The following is a 26,041-nucleotide window of genomic DNA, read 5'->3' as shown; positions in this document are numbered from 1 at the left end:
GGGGTGAAGGCACAGGGTGTAACCAGGGATGCGATGGCACTGAGGTAGGTAGTGGCCAGACCTGGGAGCACCTTGAAATATGCCCTGGAAGGACGCTGTGCTAAGACACCTGAACTCTGCCAGCCGGGAGCCACCAAAGGGTTGAAAAGGGAAACGCATATGAATAAATCTGAGTTGAATTTCAGGAAGATGTCTCTATTGAAATCATCCTTTAACGAACAGCAGAAAGCAAAATAAAATAAGCTCAGCATTCACCCAGTAAGACCGGCTGTCAATGGGGCAGGTCAACCCCAGGCCACTCCCACTGCCGACGGCACCTCCAGAGCAGGGTTTCCATCCTCCCAGGGAAGGGAGGGCACATCCAAACCTTTGCTGGACTCACTTATATGGAATGTGCTTTTATTTTTTATTTATCTGTATTTAGTTACTTAAGTATTTATTTATTTTTTTGAGACAAGAGTCTCACTCTGTGGCCCAGGCTGGAGTACAGTGGCTCAATCTTGGCTCACTGAAACCTGTGCCTCCCAGGTTCAAATGATTCTTGTGCCTCAGCCTCCCAAGTAGCTGGGATTACAGGCGAGCGCCACCACATCCAGCTAATTTTTGTATTTTTAGTACAGATGGGGTTTCCCCACATTGGCCAGGCTGGTCTCGAACTGCTGACCTCCAGTGATCTGCCCGCCTCAGCCTCCCAAAGTGCTGGGATTACAGGCATGCACCACCATGCCCAGCTAGTTTTTTTATTTTTAGTAGTGACAGGGTTTCACCATGTTGGCCAAGCTGGTCTCAGACTTCGGACTTCAGGTGATGTGCCCACCTTGGCCTCCCAAAGTGCTGGGATTCTGTGCTTTTTAACTGCCACCTTTCTGATTTCAGAGTATTAGTGGAAATGCTGATAGTCGTTGCTGTCACTGATTGTTTCATTCTTATGACACTGCTGCATGGTGACACTCATCAGGCTTTTTGTTCCTGTGCTGGGAGGGGAAAGGATTATGGGGCCTGAGTGGGCAGGAAGCCCAGTGAGACAATACCTGCCACTGTCCACGTGAGACAGTACCTGCCACTGTCCACGTGAGACTGAAATATTCTTACAGGCTGATGAGAGAAAAGGGTTAGAGAAAGGTTCTGGGGGCTCATGGGGGGAAGGTAACTGAACAGGAAAACCACTGGGTCAGGAAAGGGACACAGATACAGATTAGTTGTGCAGCTCAACAAGACAGAACAGCTACAATTGAAGCAGGCAGGATTTAAGTTAGACATAAGGAAGAACTTCCTAAGCATGCAGTACCCCCATGAATTTTCAATGCAGGCCTTCTACAGATTGTTTTCTCTGGAGAGTTTCTCTCCTTCATCATAAAATACAGCAGTGATTTGGCTACCCAGGCATGAGCTAAACCTCTAAAAGGGTCCCATCACCCCTGTGTTTTGCGGATTCCTTAAGGGGGCCTAAAAAGCTGTTGATCAAGGCCTCTGGTCAGAACAAAATGAGAGGTGCTTGACAAGTTGCCTGGGGATAAGGTCAATTTCCTAGACATCATGTGCTTTGGAAAGGTAAGGACTGTAGGGTGTGGGGTGCCAGATAGAAAGCTGGCAAGAAAGGGTGAGCTGGGCAGCTGAGGGGCACTGGAGTTCAGCAGCATCACAGCCCCTGACTGAGACTGGCCAATCAGCACACTCAGTGTCTGAAGGCATAGCGATTGCCTCACAGAGGGCACAGGACCCAATCTGGGTCAATAAGAAGCAGGCAGTTCTCCTAACAGTGGGATACACAGTGGGAGCTGTTGGGACCATTTACCATCACAAGGGGAGAGGATGCGTGAGGATAAAGCAGACCAGGAGAAAGTGAAACACAGAAAATATGAAGAAAGTTCTGACGGCAGAGTCCCTGGATCACACCGCACCTGAAAGTAGAACTTCCCAGTTACGCAAGCCAAGAATCTCCTGTATTGTCTAAGTCTAGCTGTCCAAGGCTGCTGTAACTTACAATCCCAGGGAACCCTCTGTGCTAGGCATGTGTGTCTGCTTCTCACGACAGCCTAAGCAGGTGTATCTGCACCCATTGTCCAGATGGGTAAGCTAAGTCTTAGAAAGGCAAAGTGAGTTGTTCAAGGTCACAGAGAGGGAGCACGGTGGGAATTCGAATCCACGTTTAACAAAAGCCCTGTGGCTCTCTCCACACCATCACGTGTGTCCACGTCCCGGCTTACCCATTCAGTGTGGGAGGGTCGCTCCTGGCCCAGGTGAATGTGGCATTCCTCACGGTGATGCTGTTCGTGCCCCCGCCTACAAAGCACAGAGACATGTCAGGGACAGGCTGAGCTGTGCGACTCCACATGCACAGAACACTCTCTTTCTCTGCTTGAATGGTTCAACCCCAGACGCTTGGCACGAATGGCGCTAGGCATTATTATCTGGTGACATCAGCCACGGGTTCTGAAAGAAGAAACTCAACCTGCAGTTCTGGAGGCAGCCCCAGACCCAGAAAGCAGAAGGAAACTGCAAGCAGCTTTGTCCTTGTAAGATGGGGTTGCGCCATCTGGACGATCATCTTGGGAGATGACTGCAGAGGCGGGGGCCGCATGAGAATTACTCAATGCTCTCGATGCCCTGGCCCTTCTCAGGCAGGTTCGGGGCAGCTCCAGCTGGGAGGGCCGAGCAGTGGCCAAGGTCAGTGGGAAACAGCTGGCGTCCACATGCAAACCTCTCTCCACTGGGGTGGCCAGCATCAGACCGCTGGGCCCTCCTTGAGGTGCAAAGGGAGGTCGTTCACCCTTCTCCCCAGGTCCTCTGTCTTCCTCCCCCAGCCACACCACTCTACACACAGCACATCACAGCAGGTGGATCTTTCTAAAACATCCATCACGATAAACTCAAAAAAAGAGGATACGGAACAGGAAGTGTGGTACGAGGGCACAGGGAAGGGGAGAGTGTCGGAGACAAAGCCCACGTTAACTGGTTCCATGTTTCTGTCTTCTCCTGAGACAGGATCTGGCTTCTGCACCCAGGCTGGAGCGCAGTGGTGCGATCTCGGCCTACTGCAACCTCCATCTCCCAGGCGCAGGCGATTCTCCCACTTCAGCCTCCTGAGCAACTGGGACTACAGGATGTGCACCATCACACCCAGCTAATTTTTTTTTTGTATTTTTTGTAGAGGTGGGGTCTTGACATGTTGCTCAGCCTGGTCTCGAACTCTTGGCCTCAAGTGATCTGCTTGCCTCGGCCTTCCAAAGTGCCGGGATTACAGGCATGAGACACCATGCCCGGCCAGCTCCACACTTCTAAAGCTCCTAGCACCTCTGTCTTCTTTTACTCTTCTTCCTGTTATTTTCCTTTTACTTCATGTCTCTCACTTAAAACAAAAGCAGGCCAGTCGCAGGGGCTCATGCCTGTAATCCCAACACTTCGGGAGACCGAGGCGGGCAGATCACCTGATGTCAGGAGTTCGAGACCAGCCTGGCCAACGTGGTGAAACCCCATCTCTACTAAAAATACAAACATTAGCCAGGTGTGGTAGCGCATGCCTGTAGTCCCAGCTACTCGGGAGTCTGAGACATGAGAATCGCTTGAAACCAAGGCAGAGGTCGCAGAGAGCCAAGATCGTGCCATTGCACTCCAGCCTGGGCAACAGAGTGAAACTCTGTCTCAAAAAAAAAAAAAAAAAGAAAAAGAAAAAACAGAAAAGCAGCTCTCTGAATTATGAGCCACCTTAAGACCATCTGGAGATAATACAGGAGTATTTTTTGTTTAAGTTGTCAAATGAAGAAATAACTTCCTCCATGCATCAAAAAAACAAAAAACCTAGAGAGAGAGGAAGGTGCTGGTTAACCTAGATTAACTTTCTCCCTCAGCTCTTCTACGAGTGGACGTGGAATGAGGAAACTGGGAGTTGCTATTTAAGGAATTTAAGAAAAGCCACTGGAGACAGAGAGGTTGCAGAGAACGGTTAGCTTGGGAGCTGGGAGCAGCCAAGGGGGCCCCCACTGGCTAGAGCGTGCTAAACATTCCAGGAAGTCCAACCACCTAGGAGGCCACTATTAGGGCAGGAAGGAGGGGCTGGGGTGCGGGCGGCACCCAGGGGCCTAGGGGTTTCCTGATGCTTGCATTGAGCTGTGAACAACTTCAGTACCAAGAAACCACCCCCCACCCACCGCCGGCCACCTCAAATTTCAGCCTGTGGTTAGCAGAGAAATTTGACCCCAGAGTAGATGGAATCATTGCCTTATGATGTGAGGGGATGTGGGACACTGGGACAGCAGAAACCAGATGACCACAGCCCAGGAGTGTTGGGAGGAAGAGTCCAGCATCCACTTGGGCCACGGTTCTCAACTGGAGGTAACTGTGTCCCTCAAGGCACATCTGGCAATGTCTGGAGCCATTTTTGGTTGCCAAAATTGGGATGGATACTACTGTATCTAATGGGTAGAGTCCAGGGTTGCTGCTCAACATCCCACAGTGCACAGGACAGTCCCCAACCACAAAGAACAATGTGTCTCCAGATGTCAGTAGCGCCCAGGATAAAAAACCCCACACCAGGGGGCTGAGCTGAAGATGCTGAGACCATCTCGCTCAGACCAGAGAAGTGACAACTCCCAGGATCTGTTTATCATCTTCTATGCACCAGGTGCTGTGTCAAACGTGTCAAACGTTTTAGGTGCCACTAAAGATACCTGAGCGCCTGCGAGGTGCCAGACACAGCTCACGCGGTATAACCGACGTTTACACACATTCAATCTTCTGACATTGGACTCTGGAGCCAGACTGTATGGGTTTGAATCCTGGGGCTACCACTTCGTACCTGGGTAGCCACAGGCAAGTTAGTTAACTTCTCTGTGCCTTTGTTTGTTTGTTTTTTGAGACAGGGTCTCACTCTGACACCCAGGCTGGAGTACAGTGGCATGATCATAGCTCACTATAGCCTTGAACTCCCGGGCTCAGCCAATCCTCCTGCCTCAGCCTCTCAAGTAACTAGGACTACAGGTGCACCACCATGCCTGGTGAATTTAATTTTTGTAGAGACGAGGTCTCACTACATTACCCAAGGTGGTCTCAAACTCCTGGCCTCAAGCAATCCTCCAGCCTTGGCCTCCCAAAGTACTAGGATTATAGGTAGGAGCCACTGCACCCAGCCTGTGCCTCACTTTTTCATCTGTAAAATAAGGCTGACAATCATGCAATCAACTTCAGAGGGCTGTGATGGGGTGTCTATGAGGCAGTGCACACAGAGCACTTCTCACAATGCTTGGCACATAGTAGGTGCTCAGTAAATCTCAGTGAGGCAACACCCTATGGCCAGGAAGAGCATGGACTCTACCGATGGGCTGTGGGTGTGAATGCTGGTTCTTCTTTTGATCAGCTGTGCAATCTCAGGCAAGTTTCAGAGACCAGTTTCTTCATCTGGAAAATGGGGGTTTCCATCACCCTCCTCCAGGGGTACCATGGTGAGTAATGGACAAGTTGGGACATTGACATCCTTGGAATGGCATGTGCATGACAGAGGCTTTATAAGTGAACGTGTCACTGCACTTAGTGCCATTAATATTTATTATTATTATTTTTTTTTTTTTTTTTGAGATGAAGTCTCACTCTTTGCCCTGGCTGGAGTGCAGTGGCGCGATCTTGGCTCACTGCAACCTCCGCCTCCTGGGTTCAAGTGATTCTCCTGCCTCAGCCTCCCGAGTAGTTGGGATTACAGGTGCCCAACACCATGTCCAGCTAATTTTTGTATTTTCAGTAGAGACGGGGTTTCACCTTGTTGGCCAGGCTGATCTCGAACTCCTGACCTCAAGTGATCCACCTGCCTCAGCTCCCCAAAGTGCTGGGATTACAGGCGTGAGCCACTGTGCCCGGCCTAATATTTATTATTAAGTGCCTAGAGAGATGGTTACAAACAACATCCCTGGCTCAGGGGGATGGGCTGGGAAACGATAAATTAACAAGCTACAAAACAAACAAACCTGCCAATAAAAATGCATGGCCAGGTGCAGTGGCTCACATCTGTCATCCCAGCACTTTGGGAGGCTGAGGCAGAGGGATCCTTGAGCCCAGGAGCTCAAGACCAACTTGAGGAACAAAGCAAGACCTTGTCTCTCCAAATAAAACAATTTAATATTGAAAAAAAAAAAAAGGCCAGGAGAACTGGCTCATGCCTATAAGCCCAGCACTTTGGGAGGCTGAGGCAGGTGGATTGCTTGAGCTAAGGAGTTCGAGACCGGCCTGGACAACATGGTGAAACCCTGTCTCTACAAAACATACCAAAATATTATCCAAGTATGGTGCTGTGTGTGCCTGTAGTTCTAGCTACTTGGGAGGCTAAGGTCAGAGGATCACCTGAGCCCACGAAATCAAGGCTGCAGTGACAGCTGTGACTGCACCACTGCACTCCAGCCTGGGAAATGGAATGAGACCCTGTCTCAAAAAAAAAAAAAAATCCAAGTAACACTCAGCCAAAGAAAGGTACTTTTGTTTCCCTTATCTAGATAAAACTGAGGCTCAGACCTAAGTCTACACAGCTTGTGGGTGATGGAGGCTGGCCAGCCTCCAGAGTCCTCATTTAGCCCAGAATAGAATCAAGGTCAAAGCCTTGGAAAGTGACTCCCACGGGGAAGCCTCAAGCAGCTGCTGACCCTCAGCAAGAAAACAAAAATGCAAGTGCAAGTTCACCCTCCTGGGAAGTGTGAGACAGGACAGAAGCCCAGGAGGCCAGGCTTCCCTTCCCTTCTGCAGGCTCTGCAGAACCCTTGTCCCCCGGGGTCTCGCAGACAAGCGGCTGGGCAGAGTCAAACCTGAGGGCAGCCAAGGGAAAGAAATGCAAGTAGGGAGGACCCAGTGGGAGATGGGAAGGCGGCCACTTCCAGAAGCCAGGACTGAACACACACACACCGTCTTTGACAGGCCGTCGCTCGATGCTGTCAGGTTCCAGCTCCTCATGGGAGAGAAAGATCCTCAGGCGTTTGAGGGAGACACTCGCCTGTACAGAGAGCAATGGCAGGGGAGAGTTATTTTTAAAAAGCATTTTTGCAAAACCAACCAAGGTTAACTTTCAAGGGTTTCCCCAGGTGTGGAGGGGCACACACCCTCCCTTATTTCTGAAGGTCCCACATTTCTTAGAACCAGTGTATACTTTAGAATTAAACAAAACAAAAAAAGAAACAGGTTTGGTTCTGCTTTGTTTTAAAAGCCCACAAAAGGTATTTCAGAAAAAATGGGCGAATGGCTGGGCACGGTAGCTCAAACCTGTAATCCCAGCACTTTGGGAGGCCAAGGCAGGCAGATCACTTGAGGTCAGGAGTTTGAGACCAGCCTGGCCAACATGGTGAAACCCCGCCTCAGCTAAAAAAAAAAAAAAAAATACATAAAATTAGCCTGGCATGGTGGCACGCACCTGCAATCCCAGCTACTCGGGAGGCTGAGGCAGAAGAATCACTTGAACCTGGGAAGGCAGAGGTCGCAGTGAGCCAAGATCATGCCACTGCACTCCAGCCTGGGTGACAGAGTGAGGCTCCATTTCAAAAAATAAATAAATAAAAATAAAAATAAAAGAAGAAAAGGGCAGAGGCCTGGTGGAAAAGGGACTCTGGAAACGTAACAGCAAATGCAACAGAGCCAATTCAAACAGCCCAATGGGACAGGCATTTCTGAGATATTCCAGAAAACTTGGATATGGGCTGAGTATTATTGTAAAAACTTATTGTTAGTTTGCTTAGACATGATGATGGTATTACATTATGTAGGAAGAAATGCATGCTGAAATATTTGTGGGTAGAATGTAAGGGGTCTGAGATTTGCTTTAAAATTATTCGGCAAAGAAAGGAAAGAATGAAGGGATAGATAGCAGAGTTTAGCATTAAAAACAAATGAAGGGAAAGAGGGACAAGGGAGGGATACTGAAAAAGAATGAGATAAATCAACTGTGGCAAAATGTTTTGGGTTTTTTTGTTCGTTTTTGAGATGGAGTCTCGCTCTGTCACCCAGGCTGGAGTGCAGTGGCGCAATCTCGGCTCACTGCAAGCTCCACCTCCCGGGTTCACAACATTCTCCTGCCTCAGCCAACCGAGTAGCTGGGACTACAGGCACCTGCCACCACACCTGGCTAATTTTTTTATATTTTTAGCAGAGACAGGGTTTCACCGTGTTAGCCAGGATGGTCTCCATCTCCTGACCTCATGATCCGCCCACCTCGGCCTCCCAGAGTGCTGGGATTACAGGCATGAGCCACTGCGCCCAACCTTGGTTTCTTTATTTGAGACAGAGTCTTGCTCTGTTGCCCAGGCTGGAGTGCAGTGGTGCAAACATAACTCACTGCAGCCTCAAACTCCTAGGCTCAAGCGATCCTTCTGCCTCAGCCTCCCATGTAGTCACTGCAGGCATGCACCCCACACCCATTTTGTTATTTTTTGTAGATTAAGGGTCTCATTGCCCAGGCTGATTTTGAACTCCTGGGCTGAAGCAATCCTACCACCTCAGCCTCCCACAGTGCTGGGATTACAGGCGTGAGCCACTGCGCCCAGCCAAAAAATGCCGATGTTGAATCTGAGTGATGTGTACACGGGGTTCATGTTGTATTATTTCCTTTCTTGGAGACTGAGTCTCACTCAGTCGCCCAGGCTGGAGTGCAGTGGCACAATCTCGGCTCACTGCAACCTCGGCAACCTCCACCTCCCAGGTTCAAGCGATTCTCGTGTCTCAGCCTCCAGATTAGCTGGGATTACAGGCACCAACCAATACATCTGGCTAATTTTTGTATTTTTAGTAGAGACAAGGTTTCCCCATGTTGGCCAGGCTGGTCTCGAACTCCTGACCTCAGCTGATCTGTCTGCCTTGGTCTCCCAAAATGCTGGGATTGCAGGTGTGAGCCATCATGCTTGGCTTTTTTTTTCTTTTTCTTTTTCTTTTAATGCCAGTTTACAAACTTTAAGCTATTCTACTTCTGTGTACACTTGACATTTTTCATAATAAAATGGATTTTTTTGTTTTTGACAAAGCCTGCTATCAGCCTTGTACTACCAAATTTTACGGTTGATTTGCCTATGTAGTTAAAATGGAGTTTTCAAAAGGGATGTTCGCAATGCTCGGAAAAAGAATGTGAAAACAGTGCAGAAAAGTGACAGGAGCTTCCAGTAGTGCCCAAGTGTGACAAAACAGAAAGCCACCCCTCCTTACACAGTCAATGGCAGGAATTTTAGAGATTCTACATGGTCTACATTGTTTCTAAAAAATAAAAACAAAAAACAAAAAAAAACAGGGTCTTACTCCCTTCACCCAGGCTGGAGTGTAGTGGTGAGACTATGACTCACTGCAGCCTCAACTTCCCAAGCTCAGCTGATCCTCCCACCCCAGCCTTCTGAGTCGCTGGGAGTACAGGGGCACACCACCATGCCTGGCTAATTTTCAAACATATTTATTTATTTATTTATTTATTTATTTATTTATTTATTTATTTTTATTTTATTTTATTTTATTTTTTTTTACATACAGGGTTTTACCATATTGCCCAGGCTAGTCTCAAACTCCTGGGCTTAAGAGATCCACCTGCCTTGGCCTCCCAAAGTGCTGGGATTACAGGCATGTACCATCATGCCCGGCCGTAAGGTTGGGGTTTTTCTTTTTTTTTTTTTTAATTTTGAGACGGAGTTTTTGCTGTGTCACCCAGACTGGAATGCAATGGCACGATCTTGGCTCACTGCAACCTCTTCCTCCTGGGCTCAAGCAATTCTCCTGCCTCAGCCTTCCGAGTAGCTGGGATTACAGGGACCCGCCACCACACCTGGCTAATTTTTGTATTTTTAGTAGAGATGAGGTTGCACTATGTTGGCCAGGCTGGTCTCGAACTCTTGACCTCAGGTGATCTACCCGCCTCAGCCTCCCAAAATGGTGGGAATACAGGCATGAGCCGCCGCGCCCGGCTGTAAGGTTGGGGTTTCTCAAAGCGTGGGTGGTCAAGACCTATCAGTGGGTTGTAAAATCAATCAAGTCAGACAAGAGCTACGTTTTTTAAAAAAAGGATAGGAATGGCGGAGGAACAGGCTGAAGAGAACAGAGTATTTCGGAAAGATTCTTCCAGAGCATGGGAAAGCCCTGCTGCATTAAACTTGATTCATATACTCAAGTGCGAGTTCTCTGTCAAGAAGTCAAATGTGTTTTCTTTCTTTCAGGCATGACCAGACGAAAGCATGGCAGCCTTTGTCCGGGCCTCATGGAGCCCGACCGGGAGTGTGATCTAGAGGCTGCGCTCGGGGGCACTTCCATGCTTTCGTGGCCTAGAACCCCAAGGCCCCCTCTCGGAAGTCGCCCCAGCTTCCCCCTGTACCTGCACGATGCTGCTGATGACCATGGGGAGAATGTTCAGGGGAAACCGGAGGATGTTGAACAAGGCCAAAGACACGAAGGCTGTCTGGGCATCCAGGATGTTGTTCTCGTCAATGGTCACGTAGACGGCAAATGTGCACAAGGCCACCTGCAAGCAGAACGCCCAGTGCTGACTGCTGTGCCCCGAGTGAGAGTCATCATCCTAGGAGCAGTGACAGGCCCTGGAGACGCGCTTGGGCCCTCCCCAGGTGGCCACAACTGACCAGCTGCTGGAGCTCGTGGAAAAACCTGGGGCAGTATCTGGCACATGGCAGGTGCTCACTAAACACTCTGGGAATGAACTGGATAAATCAACGACCGGGAGCCCAAAGAGCCGGCCTCTCCCATCAACTTTCTCAGAGATGTCCTAGAGGGGCATTCTTAGTATTCCTCAAAAGCACCAAGCACAATCCCCAAGCCAGGCCTTTGCCCCTGACGTTTCCTCTGCCTGAAACCATCTTCCATCCAGGGGGCCACCTGACTCCTCCCTCTCACCATTCAAGGGAGCTGTCTCTCCCACTTTACCCAAATAGCCCTGCCATCTGGCCATCGGCCCATGTATTTTCAGGGTCTCAGCACTGCCATTTCATTGTTACTTCCTGGAAGGTCATACAGCTTAAAAATAAAAACCATACACTTTGCCATATTTCCGCTGTGGGACCCTGGTTGAGTTATTTCACCTCTCCAGGCAAGCCCCTATTTTCTCATCTATAAAATGGAAGTCATGATAGGCTTTTAAGGGCTGTTGGCACTTATGTAGGGTGTTTATTTGCACAGGGCCCAAGCACAGTAAAACTCAACAGATGGCAGCTGTTTTTATTTCTTGTTGGAAGATTTGGTCCAAATTCCTTAGATCATTCTTCCAAGGAATCTATTAACGTGGTCACACAAGCGAGAGCCCGGTCCCACGGGAAGCCAGAGCTGGTTCGTGTTCTGGCTCTGACATTAACAAGACAGATGACGCTGAGCCATGGCACAGAAATTTTCCAGGCTCCGATGTCAAGAGGGAGGCAAGGTGCTCGAAACGACAGGGACGCATGATCCCTGGGTGCAGTGGTGCAATCATGGCTCACCACAGCCTCGACCTCCCGGGCTCAAGCATTCCTCCCACCTCAGCCTCCCGAGTAGCTAGGACTACAGGCGCATACCACCATGCCCGGCTAGTTTTTTTATTTTTGTAGAGACAGGGTCTCCCTATGCTTCCTAGGCTGTTCTCGAACACCTGGGCTCAGGCCATCTGCCTGCCTCGGCCACCTAAAGTGCTGGGATTACAGACATGAGCCACTGCACCCATCCTGGCTCCCATCTTCTAAGCGGTAACGCAACACTGGCATCTTACCTAAAGATACTTTTTTTTTTTTTGAGACACAGTCTCATTCTTTTGCACAAGATGGAGTGCAGTGGTGCGATCGCAGTTCACCGCAACCTCTGCCTCCCAAGGTCAAACGATTCTCATGCCTCAGTCTCCAAGTAGCTGGGATTATAGGCGCCCACCACCATGCCCAGCTAATCTTTTTGTATTTTTCTTAGTAGAGATGGGGTTTCGCCATGTTGGTCAGGCTGGTCTTGAGCTCCTGGCCTCAAGTGATCCGTCTGCCTCGGCCTCCCAAAATGCTGGGATTACAGGTATGAGCCACCATGCCCAGCCCAGAGATATTCTTTACTCGAAAGGGTCTACATGTATCTACATGATAGACTTCTCAACCATAAAAAGGAGTGAAATTCTTATACATGCTAAAACATGGATAAACCTTGAAAACATCATGCTAAGAAACCAGTCAGATGGCCAGGCGGGGTGGCTCACACCTGAAATCCCAGCACTTCGGGAGGCTGAGGCGGGCGGATCACTTGAGGTCGGGAGTTCCAGACCAGCCTGACCAACATGGAGAAACTCCGTCTCTACTAAAAATACACAATTAGCCAGGAGTGGTGGTGCATGCCTATAATCCCAGCTACTCAGTAGGCTGAGGCAGGAGAATCGCTTGAACCTAGGAGGCAAACGTTGTAGTGAGGCAAGGTCATGCCATTGCGCTTCAGGTGGGCAACAAGGGAGACACTTCGTCTCAAAAAAAAAGAAAACAGTCAGAAAAGGCCACCTGTTGTTTGATTCCATTTATATGAAAAGTCCACAGTAGATAAACAGAGACAGACAGAAAGCAGATTACTGGTTGCCTGGAATGGAATGGAAGATTTGGGGAGCAACTGGTAACAGGTACAGGGCTTCCTTTTGGGGTAATGAAAACGTCCTGGAATTAGTGGTGATTGTCATTATCATTTATACAAAAAACCCACTGGGTGACCTTCACACCACCACACATCACACAAAAAAACCACTGAATTGCACACTTTTAAATGGTGAATTATACCTCCGTTAAAAAAATACATTTCGATCGGCATGGTAGCCCATGCCTGTAATCCAAATGCTTTGCAAGGCCGAGGAGGGAGGATCACTTGAGGCCAGAAGTTCGAGCAGAGCCAGGGCAAAAAAGCAAGGCTGTGTCTCTACAAAATTTTTTAAAAAATAAGCCAGGTGGCTGGGCTCAATGGCTCATGCCTGTAATCCCAGCATGTTGGGAGGCCAAGGCAGGTGGATCTCCTGAAGTCAGGAGTTCAAGACCAGCCTGTCTGACAGGGCAAAACCCTGTCTCTACTAAAAATACAAAAATTAGCCGGGTGTGGTGGCATGTGCCTGTAGTCCCAGCTACTAGGGAGGCTGAAGTAGGAGAATCACTTTAACCCGGGAGGTGGAGGTTGCAGTGAGCCAAGATTGCACCACTGCACCCCAGCGTGTGCAACAGAGCAAGACTCCGTCTCAAAACAACAATAATATTAATAAATAAGTCAAGCATAGTGGCATGCACCTGTAGTCCTAGCTACTAGGGAGGCTGAGGCAGGAGAATCATTTGAGCCCAGGAGGTCGAGGCTGCAGTGAGCTATTACTGTGCCCCCGCACCAGCCTGGGTAACAGAGTGAGGCCCCCATCTCTAAACAAGTAATTTTTAAAAAAGTACCTCTCCAAAGTCAACCTATTTTTCAGTGTAGAAGTCAAAGTGCTGACTCAGATCCCAAGGCCCAGCTGATTTGTAAAGTCCCTTCCCTGTACCTCATTTGGCGTCATCTGTCACTCTCCCCTCACTCCCACTGTTTCAGCCTCCATGGTTATCCCACCTATGAATGGGCACAGTAATGCCCCAGGGCCTTTGCACATGCTCTTGCTACTCCCTGGTTGGCCTCTTTACCTCCATCAAGTCTTTCCTCAAGTGTCACCTTCTCAGTGAGCTTGGACCACCCTACTTAAAACTGCAAGCCGCCCTTATTCCAAAGATCTGACTCTTTTCTTTCTATAGCACTTAGGATGGCTTTCTCTAGCACTAGGATTTATTTATTGTGCCTATTTTTCCTTGTCTGTTTCTCTCCGTGAAAAATGAATGTTCCATGACTGGAGATTATTACCTGTAGTATGCACTGCTGTATTGTCAGAGCCTAGGACAGAGCCCAGATCATGGTGCTCAGTGAATGTCTGCTGGATAGATAATGGATGGGTGGGAGTGGATAAATGGGTGGGGACGGGGTAGGTGAATTTGCCTGAGGGCAGAAGAGCACATCACAGGTGTCTCTTCAGCAGTGAAGCAAACCAGGCCTCAGGCATCTCACCACCAAAACGTACCAGCCCCCTTGGTGAGCCAAGTACCAATCGATGCCGGCTGCTGGCAGCACAGGGCACACACAGAGAGGGGACAGGACAACATCATGCGGCCCCTTTCAGGTCCATGGTCCTGGCTTCTCCAGAAGGAGGAGGTCATCTAGCCATCCACCCCTCAGGTGGTAACTGAGCACCCATCATGCGCTGGGGACTGAGGTGGGCTTGGCAACCCTGAGACGCACAGTCTAGTGGAAGCACAGGCTTTAACAGGTTCCCTGCAGGCAGTGTTTGGAAATCCGAAGAGGCTGGTAGGACGGGCACAATGACTGGGGCTCCAGGCAGCAGGAGACTGGAGTTCGCCTTGTAATAGGCGAGGGTCTAGGGTGCAAAAGCCCTTCATACACAGTGAGGAGCACCTGTCCCCTAGGTGCCTTTTCTGAGAAACGTGGAAAACCAATGAATGGAACCCCTACACTCCAGCCCACTCCCTAAAAATCCTGATGCCCTGTGTGCAGTTACCTGCTCTTCCTGCCTACCTGGCATCTATTACTCTGTTTATGGCAACATGCAATTTTCTCTGGGGGAACTGAACTTCTCCCAGTGTCAACCTATGAGCTTCAGCCACAGATGAACCTCCTCCCTCACCCCCTACCTTGGCCCCAAGCCCTGAAAGACATGACCTAGCCCTGGCTGACCCAAGCATCCTATCTCCCTGGCCTCAGTGACTGGCTCAGGAAGAAGCATGTGATCGACCACAACCAATGAGACTCAATCCCATAGCTTTGCAGGAAATATTAGGGGAAAAGAGTAAGACTCTCTGTTCACAGGGGTTGCTGAGGTGACAGGATGATCAGGAAACTACCAGCTAATAAAGAAACCACCATCAAGAAAGCAGAGCTGAGAGTCAGAGACGTTGTTATTCCCAACATTATCTTGGGAACTCCTAGATCCAGCCATGCCTGGAACCCCATTCATGCTTAAAAGTCTTTTTCTAGACTTTTTAGTTTTGTGACTCAAAAATCCCCCTCTTCTCTTACTCTAGTTGATTTAAGCTAGGTTTCTGTTATTTGCAAGACAGTTCCTAATTAATATGATTTATTTCAACCTCTCATTCATTCATGTATTTATTCATTTACCTACATACATTTACAGAGCATGAACTATTTGCCAAGGTCCCTATGCTTTGCTGGTACAAGCACAAAATGACAAGGTCTGACTGGGCATGGTAGCTCACACCTGCAATCCCAGCACTTTGGGAGGCCGAGGTGGGCGGATCACTTGAGGTCAGGAGTTTGAGACCAGCCTGGCCAACATGGTGAAACCCCATCTCTACTAAAAAGACAAAAAATTAGCCAGGTGTGGTGGCGCACACCTGTAATCCCAGCTCTTCGGGAGGCTGAGGCAGGAGAATCAGCTGAACCTGGGAGGTGGAGGTTGCAGTGAGCTGTGATTGTGCCACTGCACTCCAGCCTGGGCGGCAGAATGAGACTCCGTCTCAAAAATACAGAAATGTATAAATATATAAATAAATAAAATGACATGGTCGTGGCAGTGTCTCCATGGGCCCTAGGATATGATCAGCAGAGAACTACAGGACAGATCATTACCATAGAGAATGATGAATTATTCTAACAAAGGGAGATTCAGGGTAAACAGAAGGCAAGAAGCTCACAAATCATCCAAGACAGAAAATGTTAAATATTGACGGCTGCCTGGCGATGCTATTTTAGGAAAGTGCATTAGGTGGACGTGGTAAATGCCAGGTTTGCCATTCCAGAAAAACAGTCCCATCAGTCCCTGGATGGCATCCCTGGCCTTCCCCGGCCTCTGTGTTCCATCACACCTACCGCTGGGTAAACACCTCATCGTCTTTGAAGCACAGGAATGCACACCAGTGGAAAAAACACTCAGGCACCTTCCAGGGGAACTAAAGGCCACATATTTTATCCTAATGTAGTCAGAGGCTTCGATGCCTCGGCCAGGACAAGGTCTCCCCAGCTGACACCCAGGCCCATCTGTTTCTTGCCAAACAGCTCAACAAACTCTGTCTCTGGAAACTCCGGGAAACTAAATGGCAAGAAAGCTCAAGAAAAGGTTAAGTAAAGCCGGTAGCCGGGCTCAGTATTTCACATCTGTAATCCCAGCTACTCCAGAGGCTGAAGCAGGAGGATCGCTTTAGCTCAGGAGTTGGAGGTTGCAGTGAGCTGTGATCAAGCCACTGTACTCCAGCCTGGACAGCAAAACAAGACCCTGTCTCTTTAAAAAAGAAAGAAAGAAAGAAAAAAGAGAAGAAAAGCCAGTCCTGCTCTTAAGCATCTTCTGCTGTGGTTTCCTAATGGGGAACAGGGCAGGAAGTGATAAGCAAAGTTTGGTGACAGCCTGGAAACTGTGGGTTTTGCCAACGAATCCAATGTGCAGAGCAAAAAGCTGTGAGAACACGCTGCCCATCCCCTCCTAAGCGGGACACAAGGCACAGACCAAACCTCATCACCAGCGCCCTCTGGCTTGTATCTTTTCCTCTGAGACAAGACCTTTCAAAATGCCATCAAGGCCAGGTGCAGTGGCTCATACCTACAATCCCAGCACTTTGGGAGACAGAGGCAGGCGGACTGCTCGAGCTCAGGAGTTTGAAAACATCCTGGGCAACAAAGTGAGACCCTGTCTCTGCAAAATTACAGAAATTAGCTGGGCATGGTGGTGCATGCTTGTAGTCCCAGCTGCCTGGGAGGCTGAGGTTGGAGGATTACTTGAGCCTGGGAGGCAGAGGTTGCAGTGAGCCAAGATCATGTCACTGCACTCCAGCTTGGGCGGCAGTGTGAGACCCCATCTCAAAAAAAAAAAAAAAAAAAGAAAAAAAGAAAAAAAAAGCCATTTTGTATGTATTTATGTATGACTCTTACTATCACTTGTATAAAAGTAAAGTAAACAGAATCAAGTAACCATAACTACATGTATGACATGTATCCACCATTACAGTGATACAGACGTGGACTCTGGAAAAACACACAAGAAACATGGAGAGAGGGAAGCAAGGTGACTGGTGTTAGGAGGAAGGGCTTGGGCCTTTCACTATTGACTGTGGTTCTCAACTGGGAGAATTCTGTCCCCCAAGGGGACACTTCGCAATGCCTGGAGCCATTTTCTATTGTCACCACTGGGAAGAAGAGGGAGAGGTACGACTTAGCATCTGGCAGGTAGAGGCCACAGATGCTGGGAAACATCCTGCAATGTGCAGTCCAGGCCCTACAACACAGGGACAAAGGATGACCTGTTGGCGAATGTCAGCAGGCTGAGGTGGCCACGTGCGAAGTCCGGCTGTATGAATACCATCTGGTGCAGCTTTAATTATGTTTCACCATATGCAAATACATTACTTCCTACTTTATAAAGTAAGACCCACCGGGCATGGCGGCTCACACCTGTAATCCCAGCACTTTAGGAGGCCGAGGTGGGTGGACCACTAGAGGCCAGGAGTTTGAGACCAGCCTGGCCAACACGGCTAAACCCCATCTCTACTAAAAATACAAAAAATTGGCTTGGCATGGTGGCGTGCGCCTGTACTCCCAGCTACTCGGACGCTGAGGCAGGAGAATTGCTTGAACCCTGGTGAAACCCCGTCTCTACTAAAAATACAAAACTTAGCTGGGCATGGTAGTAGGCGCCTGTAATCCCAGCTACTCAGGAGGCTGAGGCAGGAGAATCGCTTGAACCCAAGAGGCAGAGATTGCAGTGAGCTGAGATCGTGCCAATGCACTCCAGCCTGGCGAGAGAGCAAGACTCCTTCTCAAAAAAAAAGGAGAGTCCAGGCGCGGTGGCTCACGCTTGTAATCCCAGCACGTTGGGAGATCAAGGCAGGTAGATCACTTGAGGTCAGGAGTTCGAGACCAGCCTGGCGAACATGACAAAAACCCATCTCTACTAAAAATATTAAAATTAACAAGGCATGGTAGTGCATGTTTGTAATCCCAGCTAGTCGGGGGACTGAGGCAGGAGAATTGCTTGAACTGGGAGATGGAGGTTGCAGTGAGCTGAGATGGCACCACTGCACTTCAGCCTGGGTGACAGAGTGAGACTCAGTCCCAAAAAAAACAAAAAAAGAGAGAGTTCATCAACGCACCCCGGTAAAGTCAAGGTATTGGAGTGTAAGAAGAATGCAATGTACAAGGCAGAATGCAGGGGCATTGGAGCTGGAAGTGATCTTAGGGAACATGGAGTTACAGAAGGGCAACAAGATGTCATTTCTTGCTCAACTCTAGGCCACTGGCACCAGTCACCTGGAGGGCTGCTTGAACATAACTCAGTGGGAAAGAACCCCATGAGTGACTGTGGGTGTCTGCTGTGGGCATGAGGAAGGAGGACAGGGCCCAGTATTTGACATGCTTGGAATCTAACCCCTTCATTTTCCATGTGACAAAATCTAGAGCCAGCGAGGTGAGATGACCAGCTTTGGGGTCACACTGTGAGCTGGCAGTAGAATGTGGCAGGTGTCCTGATTCTCAGAAGAACATTCCAGTCCTCTAAGCCAGGGGCTGGCCAACAAGGATGGCTCAGGTCCACATTTGGCCCACACCTGTTTACATACGGCCCATGAGCTCAGCATTGATTTCATTTTTTTTATTTTTTTTGAGACAGAGTCTTGTTCTGTTGCCCAGGCTTAGAGTGCAGTGGCGTGACCTCAGCTCGCTGCGATCTCCGCCTCCCGGGTTCAAACGATTCCCGTACCTCAGCCTCCCAAAAAGCTTGGATGACCAGCATGCTCCACCACACCTGGCTAATTTTTTTTTGTGGGGGGCTGGGAGGGGGTGGGGGGGCAGCAGCAGGAAAGGGTCTCACTCTGTTGCCCAGCCAGGAGTGTGTGGCATGATCTTGGCTCACTGCAACTTCTGCCTCCTGGGTTGAAGCGATCCTCCTGCCTCAGCCTCCCGAGTAGCTATGACCACAGGTGCGCACCACCACTTCCAGCTAATTTTTGTATTTTTAGTATAGACGGGGTTTCACCACGTTGGCTAGGCTGGTCTCAATCTGCTAGCCTCAAGCAACCCGCCCGCCTCGGCCTCCCAAAGTGCTGAGATTACAGGCATGAGCCCCTGCGCCCAGCCAGATTTCATATTTTTTAAAAGTTAAAAAAATCAAAACAATATTACATGACACATGCAAATTCTATAAAATTCAAATTTTGGTGTCTCTAAATACTTTTTTACAGGAACACAGCCACACCCATCGATTTCCATATTATCTAAGGCTGTTTTTGCACTACGCTGGAAGAGACTGGTATTTGTGACAGAGACTGTATGGCCCGGAATTCCGAAAGTATTTACAGAAAAAGTTTCTTTACTCCTACTTTCTGCCAGTCTCTCTCGAAATTTAATGTGCATACACACCACCTAGAGAACTAGTTACAACTCAGATTCCGTTTCAGTGGATCTGGGCTGAGGCCTGAAATTCTGCACCGTTAACAAGCACCAGGTGATGCCATGGCTGCTGGTCCACGGACCAGACTTTAGGCAGTGAGGATCCACTCCGGTGTCTCTACATGTCAACCTGAACCAGAAGCAGCAGCACCTAGGGATATGTTAGGAAAGCAAATACTCAGGCCCCAACCAGACCTACTAAAACTGAAAATTTGGGTGGGGCCCAGAAAGCTGAGTTTTATAGTAACAAGCTAACAGCCAGCACTGTGGCTCATGCCTGTAATCCCAGCACTTTCGGAGGCCAAGGCGGGTAGATCTCCTGAGGTCAGGAGTTCGAGACCAGCCTGGCCAACATGGTGAAACACCATCTCTACACTAAAGATATTTTAAAAATTAGCTGAGCATGGTTGCTGCATGCCTGTAATCCCAGCTACTCAGAGGCTGAGGTGGAAGAATCGCTTGAACCCGGGAGGCAGAGATTGCAGTGAGCCAAGATAGTGCCATAGCAATCCAACCTGGGTGACAGACTGGGACTTCATCTCAATAAATGAATAAATAATAAAATATAATAACAAGCTCTCCAGGTGATTCTGATGCAGGCTTGAATTTGAACACCATCTCTCCTGCAGTTCCAGACCCTGAGAGAAGTAAGGCAAGACTAAGAAAATTCAGTGGGAGCATGAACACGCTTTCGCAAATGCTGAAACAGCTGGAGCTTCCTTAGACATTCCACCTGAAACTCAACAAAGATGAAGCAGATGGTAGTTTAACAGAAAAGTTCATATTCATAAACATGTTTAACTCTGCTTCACAGAAACTTGCCAGAAAAACATATAATTTGCCAACCTGACCAAGAAGGAATAGTTGTAATGAGCACAACATTACAAAAAGAATGACACAGTTAATAAAAAGACAGAAAGAAAAAACAAACATGGGGCATGATCTGAAGTCATCCTTCACCATTAACTGTTTTTAACTGTGCTTAAAAAGGGAATTTCCAAAGTCCATCTCTGTATGGTCTCCTGATTTGCGGCCAACTTTGCAAATTGTAAGTTGCACTGTTGTCTTTAAACTTTTCAAAGCCAGCTAGGCAGGGATAGACCCATTACCATACCCCAGGACAGGTACCAGAACTTTCAGTGTAGCATGGATCATAACAGCAAAAAAAACAGGGAACAACCTGTTTTTGCAAGGAATGGGAGAAAGGGTAATTCCAGCAGGGCGCATCTGCACGTCAGACAAGCATCCATCATGAACACAAATGAAACAAGCTGGGAGTGGTAGCAGTGCACCTGGAGTCCCAGCTACTTAGGAAACTAAAGCAGGAGGATTGCTTGGGCCCAGGAGTTCAAGGCTGCAGTGAGCTATGATCGCACCACAGTACTCCAGCCTGGGGGACAGAGCGAGACCCCATTTCAAAACAAAACCCCCCAAAAAACTAAAATGAAGTAGACCAGAATGAACGAACCAAGACTATATATTGTTAACCAAAGAAAAGAGAACACTATGTACAGTATGATTCCATTTATATCTGTCAAAGTATTTTTAAATACCTATATGCTTGTCCATTTTTCTCTAAAAGCGTACACGAAACTGTCACTTTAGAAGGGAGGAACTGATGGAAGAGAGGACAATATACTTTTCATTTTATATCTTTCTGTATTTTTTTTTTTTTACAATGGATGACAATATTTGTTCAGCACCTGCTATGCACTGTTTTATATACTGAGGATACAGCAGTCAAGAGAAACGACAAAAATGCCCATCTGGAGCTGACATCCTAGTGGGGGAAAAGCAGACAATAAAATAAGTACATTTTATTTTACTTATTTTTTTTTTTTTTTACTTTTTTGAGACAGGGTCTTGCTGTGTTGCCCAGGCTGGAGTGCCGTGGCTCGATCTCGGCTCACTGCAACCTCAGCCTCCCAGGTTCAAGGGATTCTCATGTCTCGGCCTCCTGAGTAGCTGGGAATATAGGCATGCACCACCATGCCCAGCTTTTTTTTTCTTTCTTTTTTTTTTTTTTTTTTAAGCAGTAACAGGGTTTCACCAGGTTGGCCAGGCTGGTCTCGAGCTCCTGGCCTCAAGTGATCTACCCACCTTGGACTCCCAAAGGGCTGGGATTACAGGCACAAGCCACCGCACCCAGCCCAAAATAAGTAAATTTTAGAGTGTGTTTAGACCATGCCACTTGACATGTGGCCTATGAGACACTGACAATCCACACTTTGTGACCAGTTGGTGACAAAATAAGGACGCAGCACCACAATGTAGATCAACTATGGCACCAAGCGTGCCGTTCGACTCAGCTCGCACTTTTTGTCTTGCAAGGCTATCTTAATGCAGGAAGCAGGGGGCACTGGTTTACATTCTGGCACAAGCTCCTTATATCACAGTAAATAGATAACGAACGGTTCCTACACAGGTTGGCTAGAAGCTGCTAAGTGTGAATAAAACAAAGGAGAATGGAGAAGATGGCAAATGTTTAAACCAAGTGTTCAGGGAAGGCCTTGCTGACATAGTGACTTTTTTGTTTGTTTTTGAGACAAGGTCTTGCTCTGTCGCCCAGGCTGGAGTGCACTGGCGTGATCTTGGCCCACTCCAACCGTCGCCTCCCAGGTTGAAGTAATTCTCTTGCCTCAGCCTCCCTAGTAGCTGGGACTACAGGCATGCGCCACCACACCCGGCTTATTTTTTTGTATTTTTAGTAGAGACTGGGTTTCACCATGTTGGCCAGGCTGGTCTTGAACTCCTGACCTCAGGTGATCCACCTGCTTTGGCCTCCCAGAGTGCTGGGATTACCAAGCATGAGCCACTGCACCTGGGCAACATAGTGACCTTTTAAAAATATTCAGGTACGCAGAGAAAATAAAACATCAAACAATGAGGGCCAGGAAAAATGTGGCTTCACTCACCAGAAAGGGCGTGCAGACCCAGGTGAAGGTGCCCACGGCTGACAGGTAGGCAGACTTCTTCAGCACCTTCAGCTCCTCCTGCCTGATGGCCAGCACCTTGTCCTTGAATGCCAGCTCCCAGGCATAAAGCTTTAGCACTTTGATCCCATTGAGAATTTCGTTCATCAGCTTGATCCGATTGTCTTTGCTCTTCATGTGGGCCACCTTGGAAGAGACGGGCAGTCAACACATCTGGGGCGACCCTGGGATCAGCCCATCACTCAACATCACCAGCTATTTTTCTCATAAACTTTATTATATACTTTGACATGTAAATGTTTTTTATATTGATTTTTTTTTTTCTTTTCAATAGAGATGGGGTTTCACCATGCTGCCCAGGCTGGTCTCAAACTCCTGTGCTGGGATTACAGGTGTGAGCCACCGCACTGGGCCTCAACTTCACCGTCTATTAAAAATGGGCCTCCTGAGGGTGGGAGAGCTGACCCTGTAATCCCTACTAGCCCTACTCTTGAGCCCCAAGACCACACCAAAGGACCCCGCTATCAAGAAAAAAAAAACCCCTTCAAATCACGTTAGGTTAGACATTGGAGAAACATACTCAATTTAGAATCCAGGAACAGAGGCAAGAAAAACCCTTCAGGTGTACAGAAAAGAAGGGATTCAGTCCCTACTCTGCTGACCCAAACACAGGAGACATGGTGGTGGTGTTTTTCTTCTCTGTTTTCGTATTTTTTCTTTTTTTTTTTGTGACGGAGTCTCGCTCTCTTGCCCAGGCTGGAGTGCAGTAGCACGATCTTGGCTCACTGCAACCTCTGCCTCCCGGGTTAAAGAGATTCTCCTACCTCAGCCTCCTGAGTAGCTGGGACTATAAACGCCTGCCACCACGCCTGGCTAATTTTTCTATTTTTAGTAGAGACGGGGCTTCACCATGTTGGCCAGGCTGGTTTCGAACTCCTGACTTCAAGTGATCCAACCTCGGCCTACCAGAGTGCTGGGATTACAGGTGTGAGCCACCGCACCCAGCCTGTTTTCTTATTTCTTGTCAGCCCAGTTTTCTTTTTTTTTGGAAACATCATCTCACTCTGGCATCCAGGCTGGAGTGCAGTGGCATGATCATAGCTCACTGCAGCCTTGAATTCCTGGGCTCAAGCGATCCTCCCACCTCAGCCTCCTTAGTATCTGGGACCACAGGCATATGCCACCACACCCAGTTCATTTTTGTATTTCTTGTAGAGATGGCACCTTGCTATGTTGCTCAGGCTGGTCTTGCACTCCTGGCCACAAGCCAACCTCCTGCCTCAGGCTCCCAAAGAGCTGGGATTACAGACATGAGCCCCTGTGCCTGGCCCATGGTTGTTAAAATAGTGAAATGTTTCTGTACTGGCTAGCACTGGTTCCAAATAGTGGATACTTGTGCAGTGCAGTTGTTAAATACTTTTACTACCACCCAGGATTTTGTGTATCCCAGCAACTTTTCTAAGCATTTTACATGTATTCAGACACTTAACAATCACAAGAACTCTTATCATTTAGTGCTACAGTCATCCCCGGGTCACAGATGGGAAGAATATAAGCTACATGATCTGGAGGCCAGGGACTGAAATGGGTTGAGTCGGGCCACTCAGGGCATCCTACACATCAAGAGACTGAAGGGTGACTCAATCCTAAAGCCCCTGCCTCACCCATCCCACCCAACCCTACCACGTGAGGCCTCTCCTTCCAACAGGCCCATGTCCTGAAACTCATCTCCCTGTGGTATCGTCAGTGCAGCCTAGTGCTCCCATTTGAAATTCCACAGCACACCATAAATATCCATCAACAGAAGAGCAAAGAAATAAACTGCACCATCTCCATTATAGACCAAAAGGCACCGGGTTGGAAGAATGAATTGAAGCTATACGGCACAGCACAGAGAGGTCCCCAAAGCAGGGCGCTAAAGGACAAAAATCATGCTGCCACGTGGGCCCATTTAGGTAAAAACAGATATGGTAATAATATCACACACACAAAACATATATAATGGCCAGGCATGGTGGCTCATGCCTGTAATCCCAGCAATTTGGGAGGCCGAGGCGGGTGGATCATCTGAGGTCAGGAGTTCAAGACCAGCCTGGCCAATGTGGTAAAGCCTCATCTCTACTAAAAATACAAAGATTAGCTGGGTGTGGTGGTGGGCACCTGTAATCCCAGCTGCTCGGGAGGCTGAGGCAGGAGAACTACTTGAACCCGGGAGGCAGAGGTTGCAGTGAGCCAAGATCGTACGACTGCACTCTAGCCTGGGCAACAAAGTGAGACTCCATCTCCACAAACAAAAAAAAAAACCCACATATATAAAAACAAACCAAACTATACCATTAATCAGGTCTGTATATACATACGTAGAAAGTTGTAGAAGGATTTGCTTCTATATATTTGCAGTGGTTGAGAGAGTAGGGAAGGGGGTATCCCCTTTTAATTTATGTACTTTTGTACGATTTAAACTTTTTTTTTTTTTTTTTTTTTTTTTTTTTTTTTTTTTTTTGAGACAGGGTCTCACTCTGTTGTGCAGTGGCACAATCATGGCTCACTACAGCTTCGACCTCCTGGGTTCAGGTGATCCTCATGCTTCAGCCTCCCAAGTAGCTGGGACTACAGGCACGCATCACCACATGCAGCTAACTTTTCCATTTTTGGTAGAGACAGGTTTCACCATGTTTCCCAGGCTGGTCTTGAACTCCTAAGCTCAGGCGATCCACCCACCTTGGCCTCCCAAAATGCTGAAATTACAGGGGTGAGCCCGGCTTGATTTGGACTTTTTTATAATAAGAAACATCACTCTATTACTTGGGTATTCAAACTTTTTAAAATACAAAATATCTCCAAAAATAAAAAGCTGAAAGCCGGGCATGATGGCTCACACCTGTAATCCCAACACTTTGAGAGGCTGAGGCAACAGGATCACTTAAGCCCAGGAGTTTGAGACCAGCCTGGGCAACACAGCAAGGCCCCATTTTAGAAATTAATTATTTTAATTTAAATAAAGAGATTAACAGCATGTATCCTATAAGGTAAGAGCTAATAAGGGGGAAAAAAGTAGGGGGTAATTTGTACTCAACTCTTGAAAGCTGAGTCACACATACACATAATAAACAAGACCGTGGGAAACAAGGACTTTCTCAGAGGCTCACAGACCTTCTGATTCCAGTCACCGGCCTACAAGGTCTAACCATGTGTCAGGAGCTCTCAATCTTGGCTGCCCAATATAATGACCTGGGAAGCTTTAAAACATCTTGATGTCCAGACCCCACCCACAATAAGTGAATCAGAATCCCAGATATGCAGCCGGGGCATCAGCATTTGTTAAGGCTCCCCAAGTGAGTCCAACTGGCAGGCAAGGCTGAGAACCCCAGGGACAGAGCAGAAGGAACTGGACTAAAATCCTCATGGAGAGGCCTCTGCCTAGGGCCCGGCTTGGGGGCCCGCAGAGACACATGCCTTACCTGATACGTCTTGGTCTTCATCGCCATCACAGCATTGACGGGCACCATGAGGACCATCACCGCCACTCCAGCCAGGACGGAAGGGCCCAGATTCTAAGGAAGGAAAGGAGACTCTTCATCACTCACCAGACAGAAGAAAACAGGGCCCGTAACAGCTTCCCCGGTTGATCCATCCCACGTGGATGCTGCTGACCAAGTTCAGGGCAAGGTGTGTTACTTTTACCCCACAATAGGGTGTTAAGAGCCTGT

General features: G+C 48.3%; 1 protein-coding gene across 27 annotated transcripts in view, besides 2 other annotated features; it reads right to left on the bottom strand.

Annotated features, from left to right (window-relative positions):
* ABCC1 (ATP binding cassette subfamily C member 1 (ABCC1 blood group)) overlaps nt 1–26,041 on the bottom strand; it is a 193,911-nt gene that overhangs the window by 64,445 nt on the left and 103,425 nt on the right. For 19 of the 27 annotated variants that reach the window (XM_047434134.1, NM_004996.4, NM_001438755.1 and 16 more), the window contains 5 exons: nt 25,793–25,885; nt 22,314–22,517; nt 10,307–10,453; nt 6,880–6,967; nt 2,208–2,283 (listed from right to left, as the gene is read on the bottom strand). In XM_047434134.1, the coding sequence (XP_047290090.1) occupies nt 2,208–2,283; nt 6,880–6,967; nt 10,307–10,453; nt 22,314–22,517; nt 25,793–25,885 (608 nt within the window). The remainder of the gene's footprint in view (nt 1–2,207; nt 2,284–6,879; nt 6,968–10,306; nt 10,454–22,313; nt 22,518–25,792; nt 25,886–26,041) is intronic. The other 8 variants (NM_019902.2, XM_047434148.1, NM_001438720.1 and 5 more) reach the window with 1 other exon arrangement.
* Nucleotides 2,431–3,147: an enhancer, noted in NCBI's record as "H3K27ac hESC enhancer chr16:16169319-16170035 (GRCh37/hg19 assembly coordinates)". NCBI's record gives its function as "activates a minimal SCP1, AML or CMV promoter by ChIP-STARR-seq in primed H9 embryonic stem cells {active_cell/tissue: H9 hESC(primed)}" and the evidence as "EXISTENCE:reporter gene assay evidence [ECO:0000049][PMID:30033119]".
* Nucleotides 3,148–3,865: an enhancer, noted in NCBI's record as "H3K27ac-H3K4me1 hESC enhancer chr16:16168601-16169318 (GRCh37/hg19 assembly coordinates)". NCBI's record gives its function as "activates a minimal SCP1, AML or CMV promoter by ChIP-STARR-seq in naive and primed H9 embryonic stem cells {active_cell/tissue: H9 hESC(naive and primed)}" and the evidence as "EXISTENCE:reporter gene assay evidence [ECO:0000049][PMID:30033119]".

Source organism: Homo sapiens, chromosome 16, assembly GCF_000001405.40.
Source record: "Homo sapiens chromosome 16, GRCh38.p14 Primary Assembly".
Lineage (NCBI taxonomy): Eukaryota > Metazoa > Chordata > Mammalia > Primates > Hominidae > Homo > Homo sapiens.
Note: the sequence above shows the minus strand (reverse complement) of the source record. Positions and strands in the feature narration are given on the sequence as shown.